The 27,420-nt window shown below is 41.8% G+C and overlaps 1 long non-coding RNA gene across 1 annotated transcript in view, besides 1 other annotated feature; it reads right to left on the bottom strand.

Annotated features, from left to right (window-relative positions):
* LOC107985165 (uncharacterized) overlaps positions 1-27,420 on the bottom strand; it is a 110,408-nt gene that overhangs the window by 53,676 nt on the left and 29,312 nt on the right. The gene's annotated exons all lie outside the window — the stretch shown is intronic.
* Positions 4,899-5,193: a silencer, noted in NCBI's record as "tiled region #14540; HepG2 Repressive non-DNase unmatched - State 24:Quies, and K562 Repressive non-DNase unmatched - State 8:EnhW". NCBI's record gives its function as "represses a minimal TATA promoter and a strong SV40 promoter by Sharpr-MPRA in HepG2 and K562 cells {active_cell/tissue: HepG2 | K562}" and the evidence as "EXISTENCE:reporter gene assay evidence [ECO:0000049][PMID:27701403]".

The following is a 27,420-nucleotide window of genomic DNA, read 5'->3' as shown; positions in this document are numbered from 1 at the left end:
TGGAGCCCTGACCCAGGTCCAGTTCATGGTGAGCACAGTTGGTTCACTGACCCACCTGGTGTCATTTTCCTGGTCCACAGATGCATCACTGCAACAGACACCCTTGCTAGTCGGCAGAACCCCTACATTTGCTCCTTGGCCTGTGGAATGAGACTTAGGGCAGTGTGGAAGGCCAAGAGGTTACCTCTGAAACTGCAAGCCCCCACTACCACCAAGACAGACAATCAAAAATAACACTGTCTCCTCGGGATAATGGCAGAGATTCATGCCATACTGAAAGAACTGAAAGACGAAGGGTGATGAGGATTACCACTTCATCATCTATGCATTTAATTGACCATTCTAGTTTCTGCAAAAACTACAAGTATCCCAAAAAATTACATGGATTACCATAAATTCATCCAAGTAATAGCCTCAATTGCAGCTACTGTGCCACAAGTGAAATCTTTGCTAGAGCAGCTTCAGGCACATAAGGATGTGGCCATTAATCTGGCATTTTTTCCATCCCTACTAGAAAAGAAGATCAGAAAGAGTCTGCATTCACCTGAAATGAACAACAGCAAAAACTTACAGCCGTGCTCCAGAATTATGTTAATTCTCCCACCCTCCCCTCTGCCATAGCATAAGCTAACAATCCTGGACTGACTGGACTTCTGAGATAGCACAGCACTGACCCACTCTATTGATAACACTGTTCAAACCAGGGCAGATAACAAGATACAGCAGGTACACCGGAGGCCGTGGTAAGACACATGAACTCTCAAGTGTAGGAAATATGCCTTCCAATGACTCAGGACCCCAACATATCAGTAAAAATTTTCGATGTTTAATGGACTGGGGCAGACGAGGACGTCATCTCCAAAGTAAAGGACAAATAAGATAACTTGCATCTCCCCCCATAAAGAAGAAGTGCCTCAGGCCTGATCAGCTTCTCTGGATTCTGAGGGCAGCATATTCCATACCTGGGAATATTGCTTCAACACATCTACCAAGTTTCCAGCTTTTAGTGAAGGTCCAGAGCAGGAAGAGTTGTCAGCTTTTCGTTGGGATTGGAGCAGGAAAGGGATATACAGAAAGTCCAGGCTGGAGGTCAAGCAATCTGTCTTTTGGGCCATATATTCCAGCAGACCCTATGGTAATAGATGCCTCAGTGGTCAGCAAAAATGCCACGTGCATTTTATGGCCAGTATCAGTGGAAGAATCATAATGCAGATCCACAGGGCTCTGGGGCATGCTACCTGTCACAGAATTAATCATGCACCTTTTGGGAAATTATTGTTAGCATGTTACTGAGCACTGGTGGAGATGGAGTGCCATGGGACACCAAGTGATCATGCAGTCAGAACTGCCCCCTTGTGACCTGGATATGTATGAATCATCAAGTCATAGGTTGGACAGGTCCAGCAGTAATTCACTGTAACATGAAATGGTACTTGTAGGATTAAACACAGTTTCACCACAGAGCACGACCATGCTGTACAACAGCAGTACGACAGGTCCAGCAGTAATTCAGTGTAACATGAAAATGGTACTGTAGGATTAAACACAGTTTCACCACAGAGCACAACCGTGCTGTACAAGCAGGTAGACCAGACCACAGGTCATCCACCACTGTTGCACCAGTCTGTCCCTCAGCACACACCTGTGCTCACATGTGTAATTTCTTTTGACCAGCTGATAGGAGAAGAAAAAGCCTGAGCTTGGTTCATAAATGGGTGAGTTCAATATATGGCTGAAAGACAAAACTGGATGATGGCTGCACTACAACTTGCTCGGGAATTGCCTTAAAACACAGTGGCAAGGGAAGATCCTTCCACAAGCAGAGCTTTGGGTGGTGGACATGGTCAGCTACTTTGTAAGAAGAGAAGTGTCCCAAGGATAGACTATGCATGGACTCATGGGCAATAGTGAATGGCTTGTCTGATTGGTCCGGAGCCCGGAAGAAGAAATAATGGAAGATCGGGAGGTCTAGGTAGAGACATGTGGATGGATATATAGGATAGGACAAAGTATGAAGGTCTTTACATCACATTTCTATGCCCATCAGAGGTAATTCACCGCAGAGGAGGCACTAAATAACCAAATAGACAGAATGACTCAGCCAGCCTCTGTCAATAGCCACCCATGGCAGACACTATGGACACATGAAGAGTGACCATGATGGCAGGGATGGAGGCTATGTGTGAGCTCAACAGAATGAATTTTCACTTACCAAGGGTGATCTAGCTGCTGCAACTGCTGAATGTCTAACCTGCCAACAGCAGAAGCCAATGCTGAGTCCCCAGTCTGGCACCATCCATTAAGGGGCCAACCACCCAATGGTGATAAGCTGACTACATGGGACCCCTCCCTCCATAGAAAGAGCAATTACTCATTCTCATAGGAATAGATATCTATGCTGAGTTTGGGGTTTGCCTTTCCTACCACAGGGCCCCAGCCAGCACTACTATCCAAAGGCTTACTGAGTATTTGATGGACTGGCAAAGTAGCCCACATAATATTCCATCCAACTAAGGTATGCATATTACAGCAAAGGAGCTATAGGAGAGGGCAACAACCATAAAATCTACTTTTCATATAAAATGCTGTAACACCTAGAAGTTGACAGGCTGATGAAATGATGGAACAGCCTGTTGAAAGAACAGTGGAATTGCCAACTCACAAATACTACCTTGCAAGGTTAGGGGGCTATCCTCCAGGGTGCAGTGTACATTTTAAATAAGTAATGTTTATAGGTATATAGTCAACCTACTATGTCCCCAGTAGGGAAAATATATGGGTCCGAGAACCGAGGAGTAGAAACAGGAGTCCCAAGTATCATTGTTCCAAGGGTCCCACTTGGGGCTTTTTGCGGTTCCTGCCCCCACAACTTGGGGCTCTGCGGTTTTAAAGATCCTGGTACCCAAAGAGGAAATGCTTTCTCCAGGGGACACAGCAAAAGTCTCATTGAATGATAAGCTACAGCTTCAACCTGGGCACTTCAGGCTTCTCACACCAAGGGACCAGCAGGCACAAAAAAGCACCATCATCTTAGCAGGGGCAATTGGCCGATTATTAGGAGGATGTAGGGCTGCTATTATACCACAAGGAGGAAGGAATATGTTTGACACTTGGATGATCCACTTGGGTGCTGCTTGGTTCCTCCTTGGCCCTATTTTGATGGTAAATGGAAAAGTGCAGGAATCTCAGCCAGAGGAAGACATGATGACCAAGGGCTTAGATCCTTCAGGAAAGAAGGTCTGGGTCACACCAACAAGTCAGCCTTTGAGATCAGCTGAGGTGTTAACTAAGGGTGATGTAAATCTAGAATGAAGAGGAGAGAAGAGTGAGTGTGAGTGTCAGTTGTGCCCCAAGACCAGCCACAAATGCAGGGACTATAGTTTTTCCAATTACCTTTTTCTTCTAAATGTGCAAGAGAGAGAAAGAGGTCCCCTGGAATCTTAAGAGTGTCTGCTTCTAGAACTTATACAAAGAAGTGGATCAAAATAGCCTGATATAGTTTGAATGTTTGTCCCCTCCAAATCTCATGTTGAAATTCATCCTCAGTGTTGGAGGTGGGGTTTGTGGGAGGTGTTTGGATCATGGGAGCAGATCCCTCAGGAATGGCTTGGTGCCATTGCCATGGTAATGAGTGAGTTCTTTCTCTATTAGTTCACTCAAGAGTTGGTCATTTGAGGCCGGGCATGATGGCTCACGCCTGTAATCCCAGCACTTTGGGAGGCTGAGGTGGGCGGATCACGAGGTCAGGAGATCGAGACCATCCTGGCTAACACAGTGAAACCCTGTCTCTACTAAAAATACAAAAAATTAGCCGGGCGTGATGGCAGGCGCCTGTAGTCCCAGCTACTCAGGAGGCTGAGAGAGGAGAATGGCATGAACCCATGAGGCAGAGGTTGCAGTGAGCCAAGATTGTGCCACTGCACTCCAGCCTGGGCGACAGAGCAAGACTCTGTCTCCAAAAAAAAAAAAAAAAAGTTGGTCATTTGAAAAAGCATGGCACCTCTCTGCTCTTTCTTCCTCTCTCTCTCTATGTGACTCACCAACTCCCCTTTCTCTTCCACCATGATTGGAAGCTTCCTGAAGTCCTCACCAGAAGCAGATGCTGGTGCCATGCTTCCCATACAGCCTACAGAACTGTGAGCCAAATAAACCTCTTTTCTTTACAAATTACCCAGTCAGGTATTCCTTTATTGCAATGCAAATGGACTAAGACATGGCCCAAGGAGTGGACTGTGTTGGCCACCGTGATATGCTGCCCAATCCTCCATCAGGAACAAAGGACTCACTCTCACCTTCTGAGAGTTCTGAAGGCAGAAGCTCTCAGCTACCAGGCCCTGATGTGGACTACCTTGGCTGAAGAGAACTGCCTCACCTAAGGTCACACCCCCGTCCTATCATGGCCAGCATTCAATGACTGATTGACATGGGAGTACAATGGCCTGGGCTCTGGCCCAACTCAGGACAACTTCAAAGGGTCATGACAGCTTTAGGTCTCCCCAGAGAGTTGGCTGAGACCTCTGTTGAAACTGTGTCTCATGGCTCTATCTCACCCACCGTCCAAGGATCCTGCCTTCCTTCTACAGATGTTGGTTACAAGGGCACTCCTAATGAACCCTGAATGTTCATCTTCATCTCAGTGTCTGCTTCACAGGGAACCCAACCTATGATATGCACCAAAATACAGGCACCAGAGATACTTGTGTCTGTCAGATAAGTTCTCTCCCTGGAATGGTACTTGATAAATGCCAATTCATTTACCATCTAAATTGCATGCATCATTATCTATTAATAGATAAGCAAAAATATAATTGAACTGATCATAGTTTCTTCTCGTCAGATAGGAATATTGATGAGAAACAACTTACTATAAGAGGTCAGAATCCCATCTTCCAAGGTGGCCCCAGATGTCCAGAGTTTGATTAGATTTTTTCTTTAAAAATGACTCACTACTAACCTCAGATAAAATCCCTGATTCATTCTTGTTTTGAAAGCAAGAAACTGCCAGAAAGATTAATTACACTTCCAGTGAGCTAGCCTTTTCCATGGCTTGAGGTCAGATCATTGCTTGTGATTTCTGGAAATTCCTTGCTCTAAGAGCTCCCACCTTGGCTGTCCCAGGACAACAAAAAGCACAGAAGAACTCTTGTCTATCTTCTCAATTCATTCTTTCCTGCCAGGTATGCTCCTATTACTTAGGCTCGTCAGCAGCTCATTTAGGTGCTCTGGAACCCTTTCATTTCTAGGGAAGAGCAAGGAAACTATTGTCTTTAACTCTTGTTTCCCTGACATGGCACTAAGATAGAAAACAATGCTCTTTTCCAACTGTAGAAGTACATGAATGCATATAAGTAATTCAATTAGCTATGAAACTACAAATTTGTCCGAAATAACAGAAATCTCCAAGTATGACCTGGCCCTCTCCATATCAGAATGGTATTAGGGAAATTAGGTAACTTTAGAGGAGAAGAGAGGGGAAGATAAAAGGATGACTTTCTGTGCTATACTATTTATGTCACCCAGGGCCTACACTGTCCTGCTGTTAATGACCCTTTGTTAAGAAATGGTCCTGTTCATAATTAAAATAATAGTAATAGAAAGGTTCTCTGTTATCCAAGATCTTATTCCTCCATGTCAAAAAAACTCCTAGCTTAAAAACAACTTATAACCATAATATAAAATAACTATAATTTTAGTTATTTTAGGATTTAGGGCATTTAGGATTGTTATCCCAGCTCTGCTGCTAAAGAAGAGCCACTTTCATCTCATGAGTTCTATGTTTTCTCATCTGTTTACAAAAACAAGGAAAGACAAGAGAGGGCTAGACTTTCCAAAAAATTTTAATAATGAGTGTGTTATACTGGAAATAACAAAAATTATTTTATTATTGAAGCAAAACTTTAAAGGTAACTTCTAAGTTTCCATCCAATGCTAAAATTGTATAAACTTCCATGTGACCATGTTGAGCTAAATTGCATTAGCTAGTTCATCCACCCCAGCCCATATCTCACCAAAATATGGCTTCAATAGCAATCTGTACATCAACAACTTGGCATGGCCCAGCCGGACCTCTCCTCTGAGCTCCAGACTTGCATACAACTGTCTACTCCATATATTATCCATTTGGCTGTCTCAAAGGCACCTCAAATGCTCATATGCAAAACAGGCTTCACAACTTTCACTCCAAATCTGATGCTCTTCCAATGATCTTTATCACAGTAGCAAGTATCACACTTAATAAGTACAACAAAGGTACAACCAGGTAACTGGAGTAAGGCTTAACACTTTCTGCCTCCCTCACCTTCTATTTCCAATCTACTTCTATTTCCAACTCCTATCTTTCTTATTTTTATTTTTTTTAGACACACTCTCACTCTGTCACCCAGGCTGGAGTACAGTGGTGCCATCTTGGCTCACTGCAACCTCCACCTCCCAGGTTCAAGCGATTCTCACACCTCAGCCTCCCAAGCAGCTGGGATTACAGGCACCTGCTACTACACCTGACTAATTTTTGTATTTTTAGTAGAAACGAGGTTTCACCATATTGGCCAGGCTGCTCTCAAACTCCTAACCTCAAATGATCCACCTGCCTTGGTCTCCCAAAGTACTGGGATTACAGGTGTGAGCCACCACGCCTGGCCTCAATTTTATCGCTGAATAACTCAAACCTTCCACCAATCTTTGTCTCTACCCCCACTATCTAATTCAATCTACTAGGACTTCTCACCTGCATTAGGCAGTAGCCTCCTTGCTGGCTCCCTGAAATTTTCTCTTGTCCAATATCCATTCTCTGTATTACAATTAGCAATGTCTCAAAATTCATATATGATCATGCCATTCCCTGCTTAAAACCCTCAAATGATTTTCCTATTCTCTTAGTATAACCACAAAATCCTTGACTCTTACTACAAGGTCCTGCATGATCTGGTACCAGCTTCATAATGCAGTGCTTCACGCCTCTCTTGGAGCTCCAGCCACACTGGCCTCCCTAAGCTCTTTAAATGCACATGCTCCCTCCAACCCCAGGACCATTGCACATATTGTTCTACAGCTGCAGAGAGCTTCACTCCATTTTCTTTGCCTAGTTAGGACCTACTTTTTCCTCAAGCCTTAGCTCAAAAAACACCTTCTCAGGGAAACCTTCTCTGACCCCCAGGCTAAATCAAGTCTTTGTATGACAAGTTCTCATAGTACCTCAAACATTTTCTTTATAGCACTTATTACATTTTGCAATGATGAATGTAGGTGGTTATTTATTCCATATCTGTCTTTCTCACCAGGTAAGTTTTATAGAGCTCAGACATTTGTTTGATCATCATTTTATCCCTGAAGCCTCTTCTCAATGCTTAGCACCTAATAGTTACTCAATAAATGTTTCTCTAATGGATGAACAAATGGATAGATACATAGAAGCAGGGGAAAATAATGAGGCATTTTTTTCTCATGATTCCTTTTGCTGAAATGCCTACATATTTGCATCTTAAATTTTATTTCTCTTTAACTGTGAAGGTATTATTTGGGACTTCTAAAATTTCAGCAATTTTAAAGGAGAAATGGTGTCTACTTATCAAATTAAAATTGTTAAGAATGATCACTTGTTGTTTCCATGGCAGTTACACAATGTCAATTACAATGAACAATCTTGATAGATCTTCTTGGGAAAATTATTAGTGGGTCAAGAAAAACAGAAGCTAAGGAATATTTGTAATACTCTCCAGGAATGAGATATCAGCCCTGAGTATTATGCAGTGGAAAAGTTTTGAATTACCATCAGCTTCACTTTTCCAAGACTATTCTAGTCAAGCATCTCAAATTATTAAATCTTGAAGATTTAATGAGGTCCCCAAACTGCTCTCTAACCTGGCAATTGCTGAGAAAGGAATGAGTAATGTTGCTGGTGGTAGGAAGGCAGACAAGTACAACAGTCTAATGAAAATTAAAGGAAACACACAAATAATGTTGGGGAAGCAAGAGTGATTTTTTTTTTTTATTCAGCCTGTGATCAGCTCCTGTGCCTATCCCTACCTTCTTGTAAGTGAATTTTGTAAATGCAATCCCCAACTATCAAGATGCATAAGACATTCATTAGGTCCTTGGGACCTCAGGCCCAGGGCACTCTTCTCATTTAACTTATCCTTTCACTGCTGCCCTTTGGGCAGCTCTGCCTCTGAGGAACAAACCTAACACCAAGATTCTAAGCCAGGTCTTTCATCAGCACCAAATTCAATTTATAAAACCCCCAAGTGTTACCTCCTCCAGTGAAACTGCTCAGACAATGTTTTGGAGGCAAGTCATGTCCAAATTGCGTGACGAGTGTAACTGAACCCCTGAACTGATTTTCCCTTTCCTCCATCCTCTACCCCTTCTCTGTATTTCTGAAATAAAGGAGAAAACATAGAAACGAGGCAAGGCAGAAATCAGTCACTGAAGCCAATATTCCCTCTTCACATGACCCAGGTCAACAGCTACTGTCCTCTCAGTCTACCAATGTGACTTGAATAAAGGCCTCCTCCTTAAGGTAAAGCATCCATCAGTCTTGGATAAGAGAGAAATTTACAAAAGGATGCATCTAAAAAAAACAAAAGAAAAAAAAAGCCTCCGTAGCACACAGTCAGCAGGAAAACAAGACGAGCCACCTGTGCTATTTAAGATCTCCTCTTTCCATCAGCCCTTGGGGCCTCAGAATAAATAGTTCCCATAAGCTCCCAATACAGAGGGAGGCTCCCTGGAAGCATGCTTTTGAAATAATTAAGGAAAAGGGAGGCTTAGAGACTCTTTTTGTGAAGCCGTCTGTGACTGCCCTAGCATACTTAGCTGCACGTGTGACTCACATGCAACTTTAACGATCACAGCCCATTTTTAAATAACTGTTGTATCACTGGTCATAGTATTATATAGCTTATACATATGTTTATGTGTTTGTTTACCCTACTGTAAGGGGAGATCTGCTGGGGCCTGGAGCCACATATTAACGCTCTTTATAGCTCCATCACATAGCGCAATAAGTGCTCAGTGTTTGTTGAATAAATAGGTGAATTTAAAATGCAGGAATCTTTCAGGATTTCTTTATTAAAACTTTTTTTTAAAATAAAATAAATAAGATTGCTCAGCCAATTTATTCCATTTATTTTTCAAAGTTTGGATCCGTATAGAAATACCCATGCTAAATTATGCAATATTAAATAGACATAAAAAGTTATAAAGTCTAGCACAATTAACATTAAGCTGGCACGTCTTTTTTTTATTCCAAGGGTTGTTTATTTGAGATAACCAATAAAATAGACAAATCTGGCAAATCCAATCTAAGGGCTCTTTCTTTAGATCTAAAAAGAACCCTTATTTAACTTTTATTTTAGGTTTTTTAGGTTATCTTAAAATTTAAATTTAAAATTTTAACTTTTATTTTAGGTTCAGGGGCACATGTGCAGGTTTGTTAAATAGGTAAACTTGTGTCATAGATGTTTGTTGTACAGATTATTTCGCCACCGAGGTACTAAGCCTAGTACTCAATAGTTATTTTTTGGTGGTTTTTGTTTTTTTTTTTTTTTTTTTTTTTTTTGATGGACTCTCACTCTGTTGCCCAGGCTGGAGTGCAGTGGCACAATCTCAGCTCGCTGCAAACTCTGCCTCCTGGGTTCAAGCGATTCTCCTGCCTCAGCTTCCCAAGTGGCTGGGATTACAGGCACCCACCACCATGCCCAGCTAATTTTTGTATTTTTAGTACAGACAGTGTTTCACCATGTTGGCCAGGCTGGTCTTGAACTCCTAACTTCAGGTGATCTGCCCGCCTTGGCCTCCCAAAGTGCTGGGATTACAGGGGTGAGCCACCGTGCCTGGCCTCAATAGTTATTTTTTCTGCTCCTCTCCCTCCTCCCACCCTCCATCCTCAAGTAGGCCTCACTGTTTGCTGTATCTCTCTTTGTGTCCATGTATTCTCACCACTTACAAGTGAGAGCATGAAGTGTGTGGTTTTCTGTTCCTAAGCTGCCATCTTTCTTAAGAAACAAAACATTACCTATACAGCTGGAGAGCTCCTTATACCCTTCTCCCTCACCCCCACCTCCACCCCTACCCCCATCCAGAGGTAAACACTATCCTGAATCTGATGTCTAGAAAGTTACCATTTTAAGGAAAAACATCAGGTGTTTCAAAATAAAAATAAGCATGATGATGTCATTTCTTTAACTCAGCATGAATAGAAGTTTGAATTACACAAAACTTTAGAATGTGATTGTAATTATTATTTTAAATTACACAGACTTAACAATGGTTTTTACATGGACATCAAAGGAAATATTTCAAACAAGGAATTGTACCTAGCAGGGTCAGGAAGTCTTTTTTTTTTTATTTTTTTTTTTTTAACGGAGTCTTGTTTCTGTCACCCAGGCTGGAGTGCAGTGGGGTGATCTTGGCTCACTGCAACTTCGACCTCCCGCCTGGGTTCAAGTGAACCTCATGCCTCAGCCTCCCGCCACCATGCCTGGCTAATTTTTGATTTTTTGTAGAGATGCGGTTTCGCCATATTGGTCAGGCTGGTCTCAAACTCCTGGCCTCAAGCAATCCTCCTGCCTCAGCCTCCCAAAGTGCTGGTATGATAGGCATGAGCCACGGCGCCCGGCCCAGGAAGTCTTTTGACTCACATGCTGCCATCCCCTGGTTAGGAAATCTACCCATTTTAACCCTTTTGAGCCTTCTTTCCATGTGACAGATCATGGCAATCAGGAAGAAAGGCACATTCATGGAAAGTGCACCAAGGCTAGAAAAAAATGTTCTTCTGAAGCCAGAAGAACAAGGCGAAGATAGGTCTATCACTTAGAAAGGAATGGTAAATATTAACAGGCAACATCAAGAGCTACTGCACACAATTCTTACTTTGTATGTAGGTGTGTGTTGGGGGAAAGAGAGGAAGAGATAGAGAGAGTCTAGCTGGGACAAGGTGGGGGATGATCAAACAACCCATCTCGAAGTAAACATGAAAGTAAAATAGAATCAGGTCATATTAAATGAGTCCAATCCTTGAGGACCAAACAAAATTCCACCCGAAGAGGATGAAAGAACGTCCAGGTTTTATCTCTGAACCAGTGAAGCTATCTTTTGGGGAATAATTTTTTTTTCAGTGACCACTTTCCTGATTTACCAGAAAGGAGGAAAGGATGGATCTCAGAAACAACCAAAAAAATTTAGGCTAGTTTATGAAATAGTAGATATATAGAAAATAATGTGTGGTGATTCCCAAAACCCCTGCTAGGTCACCTAATAATATAACAACAAATTATTCTCATCTTCTTTTTTAATAAAAGTGTTTGACAAATTCTCTCTAATGTTTCTGGATAAGATGATTAAATGTAAGTTAGATGATAATAGATTTATATGGACTTAAGCTAGAGGAACTAGAAAGCAGGTCGATAGATAGAGAGATAAAGAGATAGATAGATGTAGATTGATTAATTGACAGATATAGAGATTTAAGACCACTCTAAACTCAAACTCATCCATGCTGTTTATGTATTTAATCAGACATTTCTTTGGTTTCCTGTGGGAAGACACTGATTACCTATTACACAGTCATAACCTCTTTCCTTGGTAATAAAACAATGATTTTGTTTAGGCAATAGTGTTTCATCTTCCAGGCAATGACTCTTCATTGGTCTAGGCCAACCATAGCAATCCCAACCCATTTGGCCCAGTGATTGGCCAATGAGACAAAGAAAAGTCTTCTGGGCCCTTCTGGGAAAGATTTTCATCCCTGAAAGAAGAACGGTATGCAAAAAGGAGGTTCTTTTTGCCCCTACTCCCTTCATTTCTGCTGCAGATACTTTTGTGTTGGAGCCTGATGATTGGGGCTGTGGCAGCCATCTTGAAACCATGAGACCACAAACATGAAACTCATTCTCTGAGGACAACAGAATAGAAAGAAGAAAAGAACCTGGATCTTGATGACATCATTTATTCACCAAACAAGCCTGAAATTGCATTTCTCCAGACTTCTTATTAAATAGACAATAAATATCCTTATGGTTTGAGTCACTGTTAGCTGAGGACATCCTGACTGCTCTGCTTCTCAACTCTAAAGGAATGAGGAAATGACCTCAGGCATTGCAGTTGGCCAGAAAACTTTGGCGAGGCTTCTAAAACGGGAGAAAAATTCTTGGCCTACAAATTTATGTAGCACATAAATAATATATCACTGAGGTACCATGGAGAATAGTAGTCCCACTCTGTTGTCCCTTGACCCAACCCTATTTGGTAGGTTTTTCTCAGGTCAGGGTCTTACATTTTAGGAGGCACATGGAAAAGTCAAGTGCCAGTAGCAACTAAAATGAGGAAGAACATAAATATAGACATATCTGAAGGGAATGGATGAATTATTTTTATACTGTGTAATAAAAGACAAAAAGAATTATGACGGCTAATTCAAACATCTGAAGGTTTTTAATGCAGTATAGACAAGAAAACAAAATGTTCTGCCCACTTTGCCACAAAATTCCTCCTCCTACATTCTCTATCTTTATATAGTTACACCATTCACCCAACTGTCAATGGCTCTATTTTATTAGGGTTTCTCAAATCCCCATACTTCTCTCCATTTCTTTTTTTTTTTTTTTTTTTCTGAGACAGAGTCTTGCTCTGTCGCCCAGGCTGGATGGAGTGCAGTGGCGCGATCTCGGCTCACTGCAAGCTCCGCCCCCCGGGTTCACGCCATTCTCCTGCCTCAGCCTCCCGAGTAGCTGGGACTACAGGGGCCCACCACCACGCCCGGCTAATTTTTTGTATTTTTAGTAGAGACGGGGTTTCACCGTGTTAGCCAGGATGGTCTCGATCTCCTGACCTCGTGATCCACCTGCCTCGGCCTCCCAAAGTGCTGGGATTACAGGTGTGAGCCACCACGCCCAGCCCCTCTTTTATTTCTAATGTCACATCTTTGGCACCATCGTCTCTCCCCTGGACCACTGCAGTAGCTCTCTCCAGTCTCATGGCTCCCAGCACAGCTTCCACGGCATTTCCAAAATGAGATCTCTGAAAACAAACTTGACCTAATTGCTCCCCTACTAAAACTCTTTCAGTGCTCTCCGTTGACATTCAGAGTACAACCCAATATTCTTAACCATTCATAATTTGGCCCATGTCCATTTTTTATAACCTCATCCCATCACTTTCCTGCGAGTACCTTATGTTTATCCCAAGGTATTTTCAGGCTCTTTAAAACATACCAAACTGTTTCAAGCTTCTGTGTTTCTCTATCTTCTCATTCCATATCCACAAGAAGAAAACCAACATTCCCTTCAAAATCTTGCTCAAAATTCTCCATCTTTGGAGCCCCTAAAGCTCTCCTCTCCAGGGACACTAGCATACATAAAGTATCCCAAAACCCTAGGCCAGGCAGGAGAATAGAAAAGGCATGGGCTGCAGTAGACAGGAACACCCCAGAGACTGGAGGGGCTAGATTCAAAAAATCAGATAAACTATGTAAGTGAGACTTCACTTTCATGGAACCAAACAGAAAGATAAAATCTGGGTAAAACTCAATAGGATAGAAATGGGAGAAACCAGGAGAGAACCAACATCTGACATGGAGAATGAGAAGAGTCTGGGTAAGTTATCTGAACCAATTTGGGGGGCACGACTATAACCTTGGGCATGTGTAGAGAGGGAGATATTCAAGGTACCAACTAATGGGCACTTTATTTATACCTCTCTTAGTAACTATCTCATTGCATTGAAATTGTATATTGCTCTGTTTCCCCCTCTGTTCTCTATGATTGTCTACGGAAAGTACCATGTCTTATTCATCTGTAACCCATACTTCCCCAAGCCACACCAGCATAGGAGTAAAAGTAGGTTGAAATTATCAATCAAAACTAGTATTTCTCTACCTCTGTTCATATACTCTCTTCAGAATCCTCCATATTCCTTCAAATTTTTCCTAGCTCAGGAGTCCCCTCAGGATGCTCAGCTAGTCTTCTTGGTCACCTCGTGCTATCCACCATTTTCCTTCTTTTGTGATCCTGCCGCAGCTCAAGGAGTAATACTTTCTGTGGCTTATAAGTCCCTTCATGATGCTTGGAGCTGTGGCAGCCATCTTGAAACCACGAGGCCACAAACATGAAACTAAGCCTCTGAAGTCCACAGAGTAGAAAGAAGAAAAGAATCTGGATCCTTTCTACAGGTGATCTGTGTGGTAGTTTCAGTGAACAGCACCAGCACTGTTCAATGAAGCTACCACACAAATTACCTGTAGAATCCTCTAGAATCCACCAAAGGAGCCAATTCCCATGCCCTCACCCATGAGTCAGGCCAGTTATAGCTTTCCGCTGGCCTGGCCTTCTGCTCAAGCCTCAGCATTTGTTCCGGACTTTGTTCAATGAGCTCCAAACATAAAGAGAACTTAACTCTTCATTGCCATTTGCTTTACAGAGACAGTATTTCTGTAGGCTCATCCCTGAAATTTTGGTTAAATGATTCTAAGCATTTTTTATGGTTCCCTGTCCTCTGAGTGAGGACCCAAATCCATGGAGAATTAACCAGAAATCAAATGAGTTGTAGACATCCTCTTGCTTTCAGAATGGCCTTTCTCACAAGAGGCCTCATGGGCCTTGACAATCTGTCTTTAGGTTGAAGTCCTCATGCAGATAGATATCTGACAACTCCACCTTTCAGTCTGAAATTTCTTTCATGCCTGTCTGTGTCCCTAGTGTGTAGTACATGCCTGACACATAAATGTGTGTTCAGTAAATGTTTACCCAATGAATAAACGAGGAAATGTTTTTCAAAATAAAAATTTTAAATGATTGCATTTCTCCAAAAAAGATTTACAAGTGTTCAATAAGCACATAAAATAATGCTTGACATTATTAGCCATTAGAGAAATGCAAATCAAAACCAGAATGAGAAACTATTTCACATTCACTACAATAGCTATGATTAGAAGGGTGAACAATAGCAAGTGTTGGCAAGGATGTGGAAAAATCAGAACCCGTAGACATGGCTCATGGGGATGTAAAAAGGCATCACTGCTGTGGAAAAAGTTTGGTAGTTCCTCAAAAAGTTAAACAGAGTTATCACGTGACCCAGTGATTCCATTTCTAGGTATATACCCAAGAGAATTGAAAATATATATTCACACAAAAACTTGTGTAACACAAATATTCAAAGCGACATTATTTATAATAGCCAAAAAGTGGAAACGACCCAACTGTTCATCACTTGATAATGGATAAACAATGTATATCCATACGATGGAATATTATTCACCCATAAAAAGAAATGTAGTATATGCTGCAACGAAGAAATGAAGAGCATGCTAAATGCTACATGCTACAACATGGATGAGCCTTGAAATGCCATGCTAAGTAAAAGAAACTAGACCCAAAAGGCCATATATGATATGATTCATTTATATGAAATGTCCTGAATAGATAAATCCATAGAGACAGAGAGGCGTTAAGTAGTTTTTCAGAGGTTGAAGGAAGGAGAGAATGAGGAGTGACTACTAATGAGTGCAGTGTTTTGAGGGAGATGAAACAGACAGTGGTAATGCTTGCACAACTTTGCAAATAAACTAAAAACCACTGAATTGTATATTTTTAAAAGGTGAATTTTTTGATATCTCAATTTTTAAGTGCCCCTAGAAAAATTAGGGCAATTGGGTGGACATTCTATCATGATAAATTATAAATTCCAAAGTAGATTTTGGTTCAATTTTTTAAAATACTTTCTACTTTTAGAAATTAATATGCCTACCTATGGAAATAAATTCCTTATTCAGGTAGTGAGCTGCCTATCCCAAGGATTATTCAAGATAGGCTTAGCAGAGGTGTTACAGAAGGAATTTGTACACGGCACTTGATATTAGACTATCTTATAAATTCTATATCGTGTTATGTATCTTGCCCTATGCAAACAAGTCACTCTATTAATAAATAAATAAATGGCAACAAATCCCTAGAGGACACATTAACAAACAAATCTTTGCAAAGCCTTTATTAAGCCTATCTTTGTACACAAAGTTGAGCTACCCAGCAAATGCTAACCTTTTCAGGGAAAGCTTACTGTGGATCATGGCCAATTTATCCCTGGGAGGTAGAAAAGTGAACCCCACATATTCTGTGTTGAGTTTTTTCAGCTGTTAGAGAAGTTATTTTGGAAAAAAAAAAAAAAACAATAATGGCTGATAAACTCCAATTGCCCGGCTGAGTGAATATAAACACTGCTGGCCAATATTGCTCATGCACTGGTGGCTGGCAGAGGCCACTGGAGGAGAATCTGCAGTTCCAGGGAAGGAGGAAGAAGGAAGGAGGGAGAACGGAAGTCTGTGCTGGCTTTCAAACCATGTAAGAACAGAGACAGAAGAACAACATTACTGGACATCAGAAATAATGTCAACAAAGTCTGCAGAAGGAACTTCATTCCAATATTTATAGCACTCAGCCCAGTGATGGGCAGAGAGTAGGCACTCATTACAATTTTTTCCCTTATAAAAAATATTTCCTTTTACATTTCCCTACCCTTATATTATGTGTTAAATTTGTCACCCTACCAAAAATAGAAATGTTGGAGTTCTAACCCCAGCACCTCAGAATGTGCCATTATTTGGAGAAAGGTCTTTGCAGATCAAGTTAAAATGATGTCATTGGGATGGGCCCTAATCTAATGTGACTGGTGTCCTTATAAGAAGAGGAAATTTGTACACAGATACGCACACAGGGAGAATGCCATGTGAAAATGGAAGTAAAGATTGGGGTGCAGCAACTACAAGGCCAGGAACACCACAGATGTTCCTTACCAGCAAACCACCAGAAGCTAGGATAGAAGTGTGGAACAGATTCTCCCTCACAGCTCTCAGAAGGAACTCACTTTGCGGACACCTTGATCTCCAACTTCTGGCCTCCAGAACTGGAGATGATACATTTCCGTTGTTGAAGCCACCCAATATATAAGACTCTGTTATGGCAATTGTAACAGACCAGTACACTCTATGCACCACCCGCCCCCCAGCAGCAGCACTCTCCAACCTTGTTGTCATTGTCATTTTCTAATCCTGGCTTCCTCTTACCAGAAGCTGAGTTTAAAACTACATTGAAAGTCCAGCCCGTCAACAGGGAGCACCAAAACCCACAAGCATCCAAGATGATTTTCCCTCTGTGAGTACAGTCTGTGTCCTCTAATCATCTGCAGCAAAAGAAAAGGGCTAAAATGTCATGATTCCTCTCACCCCCATTCTTTTTCATGATGTGTCATTCATCTTTAGCAGGGTGGCAGAAAACTATCCTTAAAATGGCAATTTCATGAAGTTAAGCATGATTTTGGATAAGTGAGCCCCAAGGGCTCAATAAACAAATATGAACAGATGTTCCAAATTGGGGAGGAATATGACAATAGAAGAAGAGGGAATAATGTTGCCAGACTGACATTTCATACCCAAGGCTCTGTCTGAGCTCTGAGCCACCAGTACACCTGCTGCAGGAACAGCATTTTGATATGATTTAATATACTCAGTAATGAGTTCAAAAGTGCAGCATGCACATAACTTCATTCTAAGGCCTGTAAATTAGAGTGATCTTCTAATGAGGAATAATAAGTCGCATTTCCCAGCCTGCGCTTAGGAAGGCACAAGCAGTGCAACTCTCTGGCTCAGAGGAAAAAGGCCCACCCTTTCTCTTCCTCCATGCTAGAGCCTCTGAGGAGGTCAGCCATCCAGAGAATAGCACTCCTAGCCCCACTGCAGCCAAGCTCCTGGCTGCAGAGCCAGGCACTGCACGTCCACAAAGCTGGGGGTACTCCAGCCAGTACCACCAAAACACTACCCTCCCTAAGTCCAAAATTTGTTCACAGTTTGCCAAAGACAGGTATAAATCAAGAAACTGGGCTGTAGTTTACAGGGTTGTAGATTACAGGCTAACACCTGTAATCCCAGAACCTTGGGAGGCCAAGGTGGGAGGATCACTTGAGCCCAGGAATTCCAGACTAGCCTGGGCAATGCAGGGAGACCCCATCTCTACAAATAAAATAATAAAAATATAAAATAAAGAAGCTAAACAGAAAAAACAGAACCACATACTCTGAGAAAAAAAAAAATCTTGCTCCCAATCATAAACAGGCTATTTCAGGAAAAAAAAAAAAATGTAATTCAATGACAAGTTTACAGCTTTAGGACAGGATACACCTTTTGTGTGCTTCGGCAGTACTGAATCTGTTAAATCATCCTTGAGTGTCTACTCTGTGCCCAACATTGTGCAAGGTGCTGATGTAAGACTGTGGATGAGACAGACACAGTTACTGTTTGTGGAGATGCAGTACACTGGGCACAAAACCCGGCTTGGGGGTCAGACCCAAAGTCCCACCTCAATTCTGTCATTTCTTAGCTAGATGATCCTGGAGAGGTCATGTAACCTTTCTGAGCCTCAGCTTTCTCATCTGTAAAACAGAGATAGTAATGTGTCCTGCATCATGCTTTGTAAAGTTTCTAGCACTGAACATAATAATCACTTGAAAGTGGTAGCTATAATTATTTGATGTTAATGTATAAATGCTGATAAACATATCCTTATAGATTTACCTTTAAGTGTCTTTCATGAGCATATATTCTGCCTTCCCAGCTAGAGGTGAATATTCATCAGGGCAGACACCATGTCTCCTTTTTTTTTATTATTATACTTTAAGTTCTAGCGTACATGCGCATAACGTGTATACATATGTATACATGTGCCATGTTGGTGTGCTGCACCCATTAACTCGTCATTTACATTAGGTATATCTCCTAATGCTATCCCTCCCCCCTTTTCTTTGATATCCTCCAACTTTTTATAGCTGCCTACAATGATGGCTGCCTCACTGTCCCACATCAGTGTCCTAGACAAGCTGTAAGAAAAATGTCAGAAAATTACATAGTCAGGAATTATAGGCTGGGCGCGGTGGCTCATGCCTGTAATCCCAGCGCTTTGGGAGACTGAGGCAGGCAGATCACAAGGTCAGGAGTTCAAGACCAGCCTGAACAACATGGTGAAACCCCTCTCTACTAAAAATACCAAAATTAGCCAGGCATGGTGGTGCGCACCCATAATCCCAGCTACTCAGGAGGCTGAGCCAGGAGAATTGCTTGAACCTGGAAGGCAGAGGTTGCAGTGAGCCAAGATCACACCACTGCACTCCAGCCTGGGTGACAGAGTGAGATTCCATCTCAAAAAAAAATAAATAAATAAATATATATATATATATATATATATATATATATATATATATATATATATATATATATGTAATGATGCTGCTCAGGAAGAATTAATGGAGTGACATGAGAAGCAAGACTTGTAAACTAATGATTGTCATAATTGCAAAGTCTTGCTGCATCCTCAAAACCGAAAGTCTAAAGCTCTGTTCTTCCCCCTGTTTAATGAAAACCAACCTAAACTTGAAACAACATATTCTCTGGCCCCAAGAATAATGAAAAGATTATTAAATCTAGAGGACGTCTTGCTGTTGTATAAACTTAAAAGCATACGTATGTTCCTATAGAATACTACAGTTTTGAAATCTACAAAGATTCACCTATTCCTGAATCATAAAAAATATTTTTCGAGCAATTTCCTTGTCCTGAGAGAGAAAATAAACTGTTTCTTCTGAGACATCAACAGCTTTCCTATGAAACCAAATGTTCTCCAGGACAAAAATTGTTTGCCTTCCAAAGAAAGACTATTTTCTCCTTTCATCAACAAGAGATAGAACCTGCTGTTTTTAATTCATAAGGTACGCCTAACCTAAAATGGTTCAAGAATGTTTTCATACATTGCTTCGATGTTTCAAGAGCTTATCATAAGAATATATTTTAAAATATAATCAAACAGTTGTATGGAATATGCTTTTCCATGTTTGATTCCCTCAAAAGTTACACAGATGTTTTCTTAAGGAGAAATAAGAATAGATTGTGTTATAACATTTGATAAATTCCTCCTGTGTCAAGAATAATACAGAGTGGTTGCAGGAAAATAGAAAATTCCAGGCAGCAGTTTCACATGACTAAGCAAAAGGAAATTGTTGAAATAGCTGCAGAAGCTATGGGTTGATAAGACCACGGAAAACAGGGTGTGGACCAAGTTGGCGAAGACCAACTGGACCCAGTATGACACTGGATTTGACCTATGTTTCACCTAGGACCTCATTTTACACTCACTGACTGACTCAATCACACACCCAATCACTGTGAAAAGCAGTTTAGAGATTTCCCAGAGAATTTAAAACAGAACTACCATTTGAGCCAGCAATCCCATTACTGTGCATGTACCCCAAGGAATGTAAATTGTTCTGCCATAAAGATACATGCACACACATGTTCATCACAGCACTTTTCACAATAACAAAGACATGGAATCAACCTAGATGCCCGTAAACAGTGGTCTGGATAAAGCAAGTGTGGTACATATACACCATGAAATACTATGCAGCCTTAAAAAGGAATGAAATCTTGTGCTTTTTAGCAACGTGGATGCAGCTAGAGGCCATTATCCTAAGCAAATTAAGACAGGAACAGAAAAACCAAGTGGGAGCTTGGAAGTGCCATGACAGCTCTGAGATGATATGGTTTAGATTTGTGTCCCTGCCCAAATCTCATGTCTAATTGTAATCCTCAATATTGGAGGGGGAGCCTGGTGGGAGGTGATTGGATCACGAGGGCAGACTTCTCCCTTGCTGGTCTCCTGATAGTGAGTGAATTCTCATGAGATCTGGTTGTTTAAAAGTGTGTAGCACCTCCCTGCTTTCTTCCTTCTGCTCCTGCCATATAAGATGTGCCTCCTTCGTCTTCACCTTCTACCATGATTGTAAGTTTCCTGAGACCTCCCCAGCCATACTTTCTGTACAGCTTGCAGAACTGTGAGCCAATTACACCTCTTTGCTTTATAAATGACCCAGTCTCGGGTAGTTCTTTATAGCAATGCAAAAACAGACTAATACACAAGAACACTGATATTTGGTGTAAAAATGGGTGGCACCACAGTTCTAAGAAATCTCCAGCTTTTTCAGGAATTTTCATGCATATTCCACCCTTTGGTTAAAAACCCAACATAGAAACCTCAAGCCCCATTGTGCAACTCTCTTGAGTACACACACGCTCCCCTTCTTGAGTGTGTACTTTTCACTTTGCAATAAATCTCTATACTTTCTCTATTTTCTGACTCATCCTTGAATTCCTTCTCACAATGGTGTTAAGAGCCTTGACACTGGCTGAAGTTGAGGTCCCACTGGTGTCTGGGGACCTCCCCAGTCCACTGGTATTACACTTTTGCTCAAAAATGAGGCATTCAATGACACAGGGGAAGTTATGTTTGATAAGGGGAAAAAAGATCATTAAATGTTTCCAAGAAAGTCATTGAACATAGAAAAGATTGTCACACACGTTCAGCCCTTTAAGAGTCTCATAACTCCCCTTAGATGCTCCTGAAAGAATTGGTGAAGTAGACAATGGCTTTATTGGAAGTAGATCCTCCACAATCTGGCCACATTCCTAACTCTGCTTCATCGCCACCTTCTGCTGCTCTGCCTGCTTGGCTTGGCAGCCCCATTTATGTACTCACTAGGCCCAACCTCTCCAGACTGCAGCCAGCCCCCTCCTCCCATGAGCTGCTAATGGAGCTGCCACCAGCTTGTCCCAGCCTTCCTACACCTGGGCCCAGCCTTCAGGGGCAGCCCTGACAAGGTTGGGCCATGACCCAGAAGGACCGATTCAAGCAGCCAACTGCTTGTTTTGAATGATTTAATCTGCTCAAGAATAGCAACCGGAATGGATGGTACTTTGAGATTTCCAGCTCTGATTCTAACAATTTGTGACTAAATCTTCCCAGGAGAACTAAATAGAGAAATGCCCTATCCATTTAAAACCCAAACCAAGGAAAGATGATCACTGCTAAAATAATTTAACCTCAGTCCAGGACTATTATCAGCAGACTACCGGGCTGGTTTGGACCTTTCCAAAATGAAAATGCAGGTTTGTCTATGGCATAGATGTGTGATAAAGTAGGGGGAGGGAGGGAGGGAGGGAGGGAGAGCAAGGCGAGATGAGCATCTTTATCTTAGCATAACTAAGAGCAGATTATCCTTCACCTCTGAGGTTTGAATAAAAGAGAAAGAAAGCTGAGGAAAGCAATTAAGACGGCTTAATAAGGGTCTGAGAGGGTTTCGCTGCAAGCAATAATAATTCAGCTTGGGTAGTAGAAGGCAGGAAGAACGATTCAATCCTATTTAGTACATCTGAAGCCAGATCTGCATGTGGTTCTGAACACTGGTCGTTTGTATTTGGATAATTCACCAGTTGCCACTAAGAAATTACCCTAGGGAATGCTTTCTGGGAAGGATGTGGGGGAGGGGAGCCAAGGACAGGCTGTGTCCTCTCACCTTATTGTTCAGAGCCTGGAATCATTTGCATGGCCCTCTGAGGATGGAGTCTTTTCTGCCATTTGGTAGATTGCCATCAAATTTCAAATGACATGATGCACAGTAGATTTATGCACCGTGAAGCGGATACTGCAGGGGTTTGGTGTATTTGTGTTTCATTTCCAGTTAAACAATACACAAGGGGCTGTCACACTAACAAGGTTTATAATGATTGACTTGTTCAGCCGTATCGAGACCTTTACTTCAATAGAGCAGAAGCCTCAATAAACAGGAAATTTATATTTGAACAGATGTCTGTCTAGAAGGGCGGTGCCATATTTCTGCCTGACTTGGTACAGAGTGAATCGTGTACATTTCCCTCCAAAACACAGGGCATAGCTAAATTCTGGACAATTGACTGGATCTCTGGGTCACTAGTATCTCACTCCTGTAAAATAGAATTTCATAATATGTGTGTTTAAATCCTCCAAAAGAAGAACTATCAAGTATAATTCAATACTTGGCTGTGCTTATTTGTGAGCATAAATTAACAATTTTGAAAAATACAGTCATACTAGAACAAAAAGAAAACAGCTCTATCTCTGTGATAAGGAGCAACTTAATTCCTTGAGCCTCAGTTTTCCCATCTATAAAGCAGAAATAGCAAAACCCCATGTAAAATGTTGTTATGAGAATAAAAGATTGTCATGATAAAAGTCTAGGAAAGCCTAGCACACACTTGTTGTCTGATAAATATTTGTTTAACAAAATACCCACAAATCACCTAAGTGACCCTCTAGACCCATCTGATCTCACCTTTGGTGGATGAGTTCATATTATTTGTGACAGAATTAAGAACAGTAAGAACATTCAGGAACAGAACAGCGCAAGACTCAGTGAGAAGAGAACGCTTTCCTGAAACCTAATCCATCCAGTGAACCAGACAGACATGACAAGTGTGGCCACTGCCAGGGACTGATTCCTTGAGGAGCCAGATAAAACCTGCTAAGAGAGAAAAGAGTTGAGGGAAGTTGAAGAGAACAATTTATTCTCGCCTTGGATTCGAAAATACCTAGCTATGTGTTGAATGAATGAATGAATGAGTCAATAAATGAGAAAACAAACACCTACTTACATAACCACCTCCAGATTATTTTAGTGAACGATTCCTGAGTTCAGAATAAATTATTGGGCCCTTGCCATGTGCCAGACTGTGCTAGCGGCTGATGATAAAGGGGTGGGAAGACTGAGTAGTCCTTGCCTTCCAAGAGCTCACAGTCTAGTAGGGAGATAAATAAACAAATAACCACATAAATGAAGACAGGGATCATGATAAGTGCTATGATGGAGGAGCAGAGACTGCTATGCGAGTATTTATATCACGCAAACCTAATTTCTGGGACCTGAGGTATGTGTAGAAATTAGTCAGGGAAAGAGTGGGGAAAAGAGAATTCCAGGCAGAGCAAACAGCCCATGAGAAATCTCTGAGGCAGGAGAGAGCTGGGCACATTCTCAGAACTGGAAGAAGGCCTCAGTAGCTGGAATAGCAGAAGCAAAGCAAAGACTGGCAAGAGTTGGCAGGAACCTAATCGGGCAGTCTTATTGGTTATGTTATTAATTTTGTATTTTATTCTAAATGCAATGGGAAACAATAACATGATCACACTTTTGCTTTTAAAAAAAGTCATTCTGACTACAGTGTGCAGAATAAATCAGAATATAAAAGTAGACATGGGGGAGCTATTGAGAAGCTATTGCAGCAACTCTAACATGAAATGCTATTGGCTTACACTAGGATGTAGAGATGGGTTTAATACATATTTTTGAAGTAGAATTGACAAACTTGAAATTCAAATGGCTGTCAGACAACAGAGTAGACAGGGGTACTACCTGTGGAATGGAGTATACCAAAATAAGACCATATTGGGGAGTGGGAAAAGTGGCAGTAGAAAAAGGTCAAGAGTTTAATATCAGATAATTCAAGCTTAAAATGTCTCCAACCACTAAAGTGGATATGTCTATCGCTCAAAAGAGAAGTCAGAATTAAAACATAAACAGGGAAGCTACAGACATATATGAACTATGAGCAAAACTGCAGGAGTGACTGAGATTGCCCAAGGAACATATAGAGGAAGAAGACGGCTCAACATTCCCATGGAGGTCAAGAAGCCTGGGAAGGAGAAGCCATGGGATGGGAGGAAAACGGAGAGTGCTTGGTACCAGGAAAGTAAGATAGCATTTCCATAAAGGCATGTTGAATGTTGACCCAAACGACGAAAAATGAGAGCTGAAATGAGCCCATTGGATTTAACAACACCCAAGTAACCATAGTAAGTAGTGATGCCATGGAGTTGTGAGGACAGAAGCCAGGCTGGAGAGGTGGGAAAAACAGAGGTGGGGAAGCACGTGGGCAGGAGCAGACCAGGCTTGGGTGAGGGTGGCTGTGAAAGCACAGTCACAGGAGAGAGGCCAGGGTCATGGGTGGGGGGCGGCCATGGTTGTCATTTGTCACTGTTGTCTTTGTTGCTGTTGTCTTTGGGATTGTTCCTGATGGGAGATACAACAGAATATTTTAGTACTGATCGGATAAATCCAGATAGATGGGAAAGGCTAGAGGGAATGGGATTCAAGACACATATGGAGCAATTGGCCTTGGAGAGGAAGAGGGGCATGTCCTCCATGAGAACTGTTGTGAAAAGAGGGTGCAGACGCAGGCTTCCAGGTAGATCATGTGAAGGGAACGTGAGGGCATTTCCATCTGAGAGCTTCTAAATGTGAGGCAGAGTCATGTTATGAGATCAAGGGAGAGTGGGCAGTTTTAAGGAGAATGAAAAAGGCATAAAATAGCCTTTCAGGAAAGCAGGATGGTGCTTCCTAAAAGAAAGTAGTACTAAGCTTGCCATGCCATGAGGAGAAGCCAATTGTGTTTGGTGATTGTGAATGCACAGTGTTATCATCTGCTAGGCCGTGAGATACTCTCCAGCCATGCCAAGACATTCAAGAGTAGACCTGAGCTGGGAGCCAAGGCTCACTCCTGTAATCCCAGCACTTTGGGAGGCAAAGGTGGAAGGATTGCTTGAAGCCAGGGGTTTGAGACCAGCCTGCACAACGTAGTGAGACCCCTATCTCTACAAAAAAAACAAAAAATTAGCTGGGCATGGTGGCACCTGCCAATAGTCCCAGCTATTCAGGAGGCTGAGGTAGGAGGATTGCTTGCGTCCAGGAGTTTGAGGCTACAATGAGCTACGATTGAGCCACTGCACTATAGCCCAGGTGACAGAGAAAGATTCTGTTTCAAAAAGGAAGACTGGGGCGAGTAGACCGGAGAAGGTTGGTGGCTGGGTTCATCCAGACCTGGGGCTTTGTCAGCTGGGCAGAAAGACAAACAGGAAGATATTTGCAACAAATAAAAGCTTGTGTGAACAATGAAGTCTAAGCTGGACAAAGGGAATGTAGACACTAGAAGGGCTTGTGGGGAGAGAGAAAGTGGAAGGGTCAATGGACTGGAGATGTAGGGGGATTGTGAGCAGGGGAGTGGGGAAGATACAACAAGCAGCTTTCAGGAGTGGGTTGTGTGATTTAGAGATTCTGCAGATGGGGAAGCCTCCAGTGATGACAGCCATCAGAGTGTAGCCATGGGAGAGGCCTGCTCAACCTAAAAGTGGAAGAGGAAGTCCTTGTAGATGAAGTTCTCAAAAACCGAAAGTTTGGAATGTTGAATAGATTTCACTGTGGATGTTTAAGTCAACTAGAATGAAGACAGATGTTGAAGTAGACAGAAAGATTGGGAGCCAGGTTCTAAAGTCTTCAGTGACAGAGACGGAGATTTACTTCTCAGAAAGTGAGGAAATTACAATGAATAGGAGGGGGAGAAAGTGGTACACCTGGATGATTTTAGCCCCAAAGGATTGAAATTTTTAAAAAAAGAAAGGGTAGTTATGGTCTAACTGTGTCATAAGGGAGGAAGAAAGACACTTACTGCACTGTCTAATCTTTAAATAAATCATATGTGAAAAAATAGCCTCTACCCAAAAGTGCCTCAAGAAGCACAATAATAATAATAACTCCAAATTTTTTGAGTGTGCTAAGAATATTTAATGTGTTACTTTACAAAAACCATTAATATTCCCATTTTACAGATGAAGAAACTGAAGCCTGGACGGTTAAACTAACTTGCATTAGTCATATATGTAGTAAATGGCAGAGCAGGAAAGATTCCATTTATTGAAATGTTCTTGAGGGCTTGTAAAGGATGCAGTGCTTCTTTTATATCTGGAGGGATCTTGGAGAAGCCATTATTCTATGGACTAATGGTGGAGTATTGGAAGTTATTGCAGATGGCCAGTTCAGGTGACGGTGTTCATTTCACCCTGTGTCCTAGAGGAAAGAACTGGCCTTGCTCCCTTCCCTCCCCATCTTCTGCTTTCCCTCTCTTTCCTCCTGCAATACAAACTCTTAAAAGCTGTTACCGCATTTATTTTTGTCTCCCCTGAGTCTAACATTGTGCCTGATTCACAGAAGCTGTTCAATAGATATTTATTGACCTGGAACAAGGAAAATGTCCAGACTAAACCAAACGACCAACCTTCTCTCACTTGCTGAGACTAGGACGAAAGAGAAGGGATAAGATAGATTCCCTTATGGTCATCTTCTTGCCTCTCAAGAATGAATCAGATATGTGGTCACTTTATCTTGCATAACAATAAAGTGATTAAACATGTATGCTAGGCTTTTAAGGACAATCTTGGTTTTAAGGGAAGCCGCAGGCCTGAACAGAGCACAGTAATCTCACGCTGGCATGAAATTCTCCAATTCTCAGGGATTTGTCTTCCTACTTTCCCCAGGGCACAAGGACAGAGAAAAACTCATTCTCTTTAACTATAAATTCCCTTCCCATTCTCCCTAGTTTTCAATCTTCAAACATATAAGTATTAAAAATAAAGAGGTGGCTGGCAAGATGGCCGAATAGGAACAGCTCCAGTCTGCAACTCCCAGCGAGACCAACGCAGAAGGTGGGTGATTTCTGCATTTCCGACTGAGGTACCCAGCTCATCTCATTGG

The sequence above is a fragment of the Homo sapiens genome, chromosome 18 (assembly GCF_000001405.40).
Source record: "Homo sapiens chromosome 18, GRCh38.p14 Primary Assembly".
In the NCBI taxonomy this organism is placed as follows: domain Eukaryota; kingdom Metazoa; phylum Chordata; class Mammalia; order Primates; family Hominidae; genus Homo; species Homo sapiens.
The sequence above is the reverse complement of the archived record's forward strand: the minus strand, read 5'-3'. Positions and strand labels throughout refer to the sequence as shown.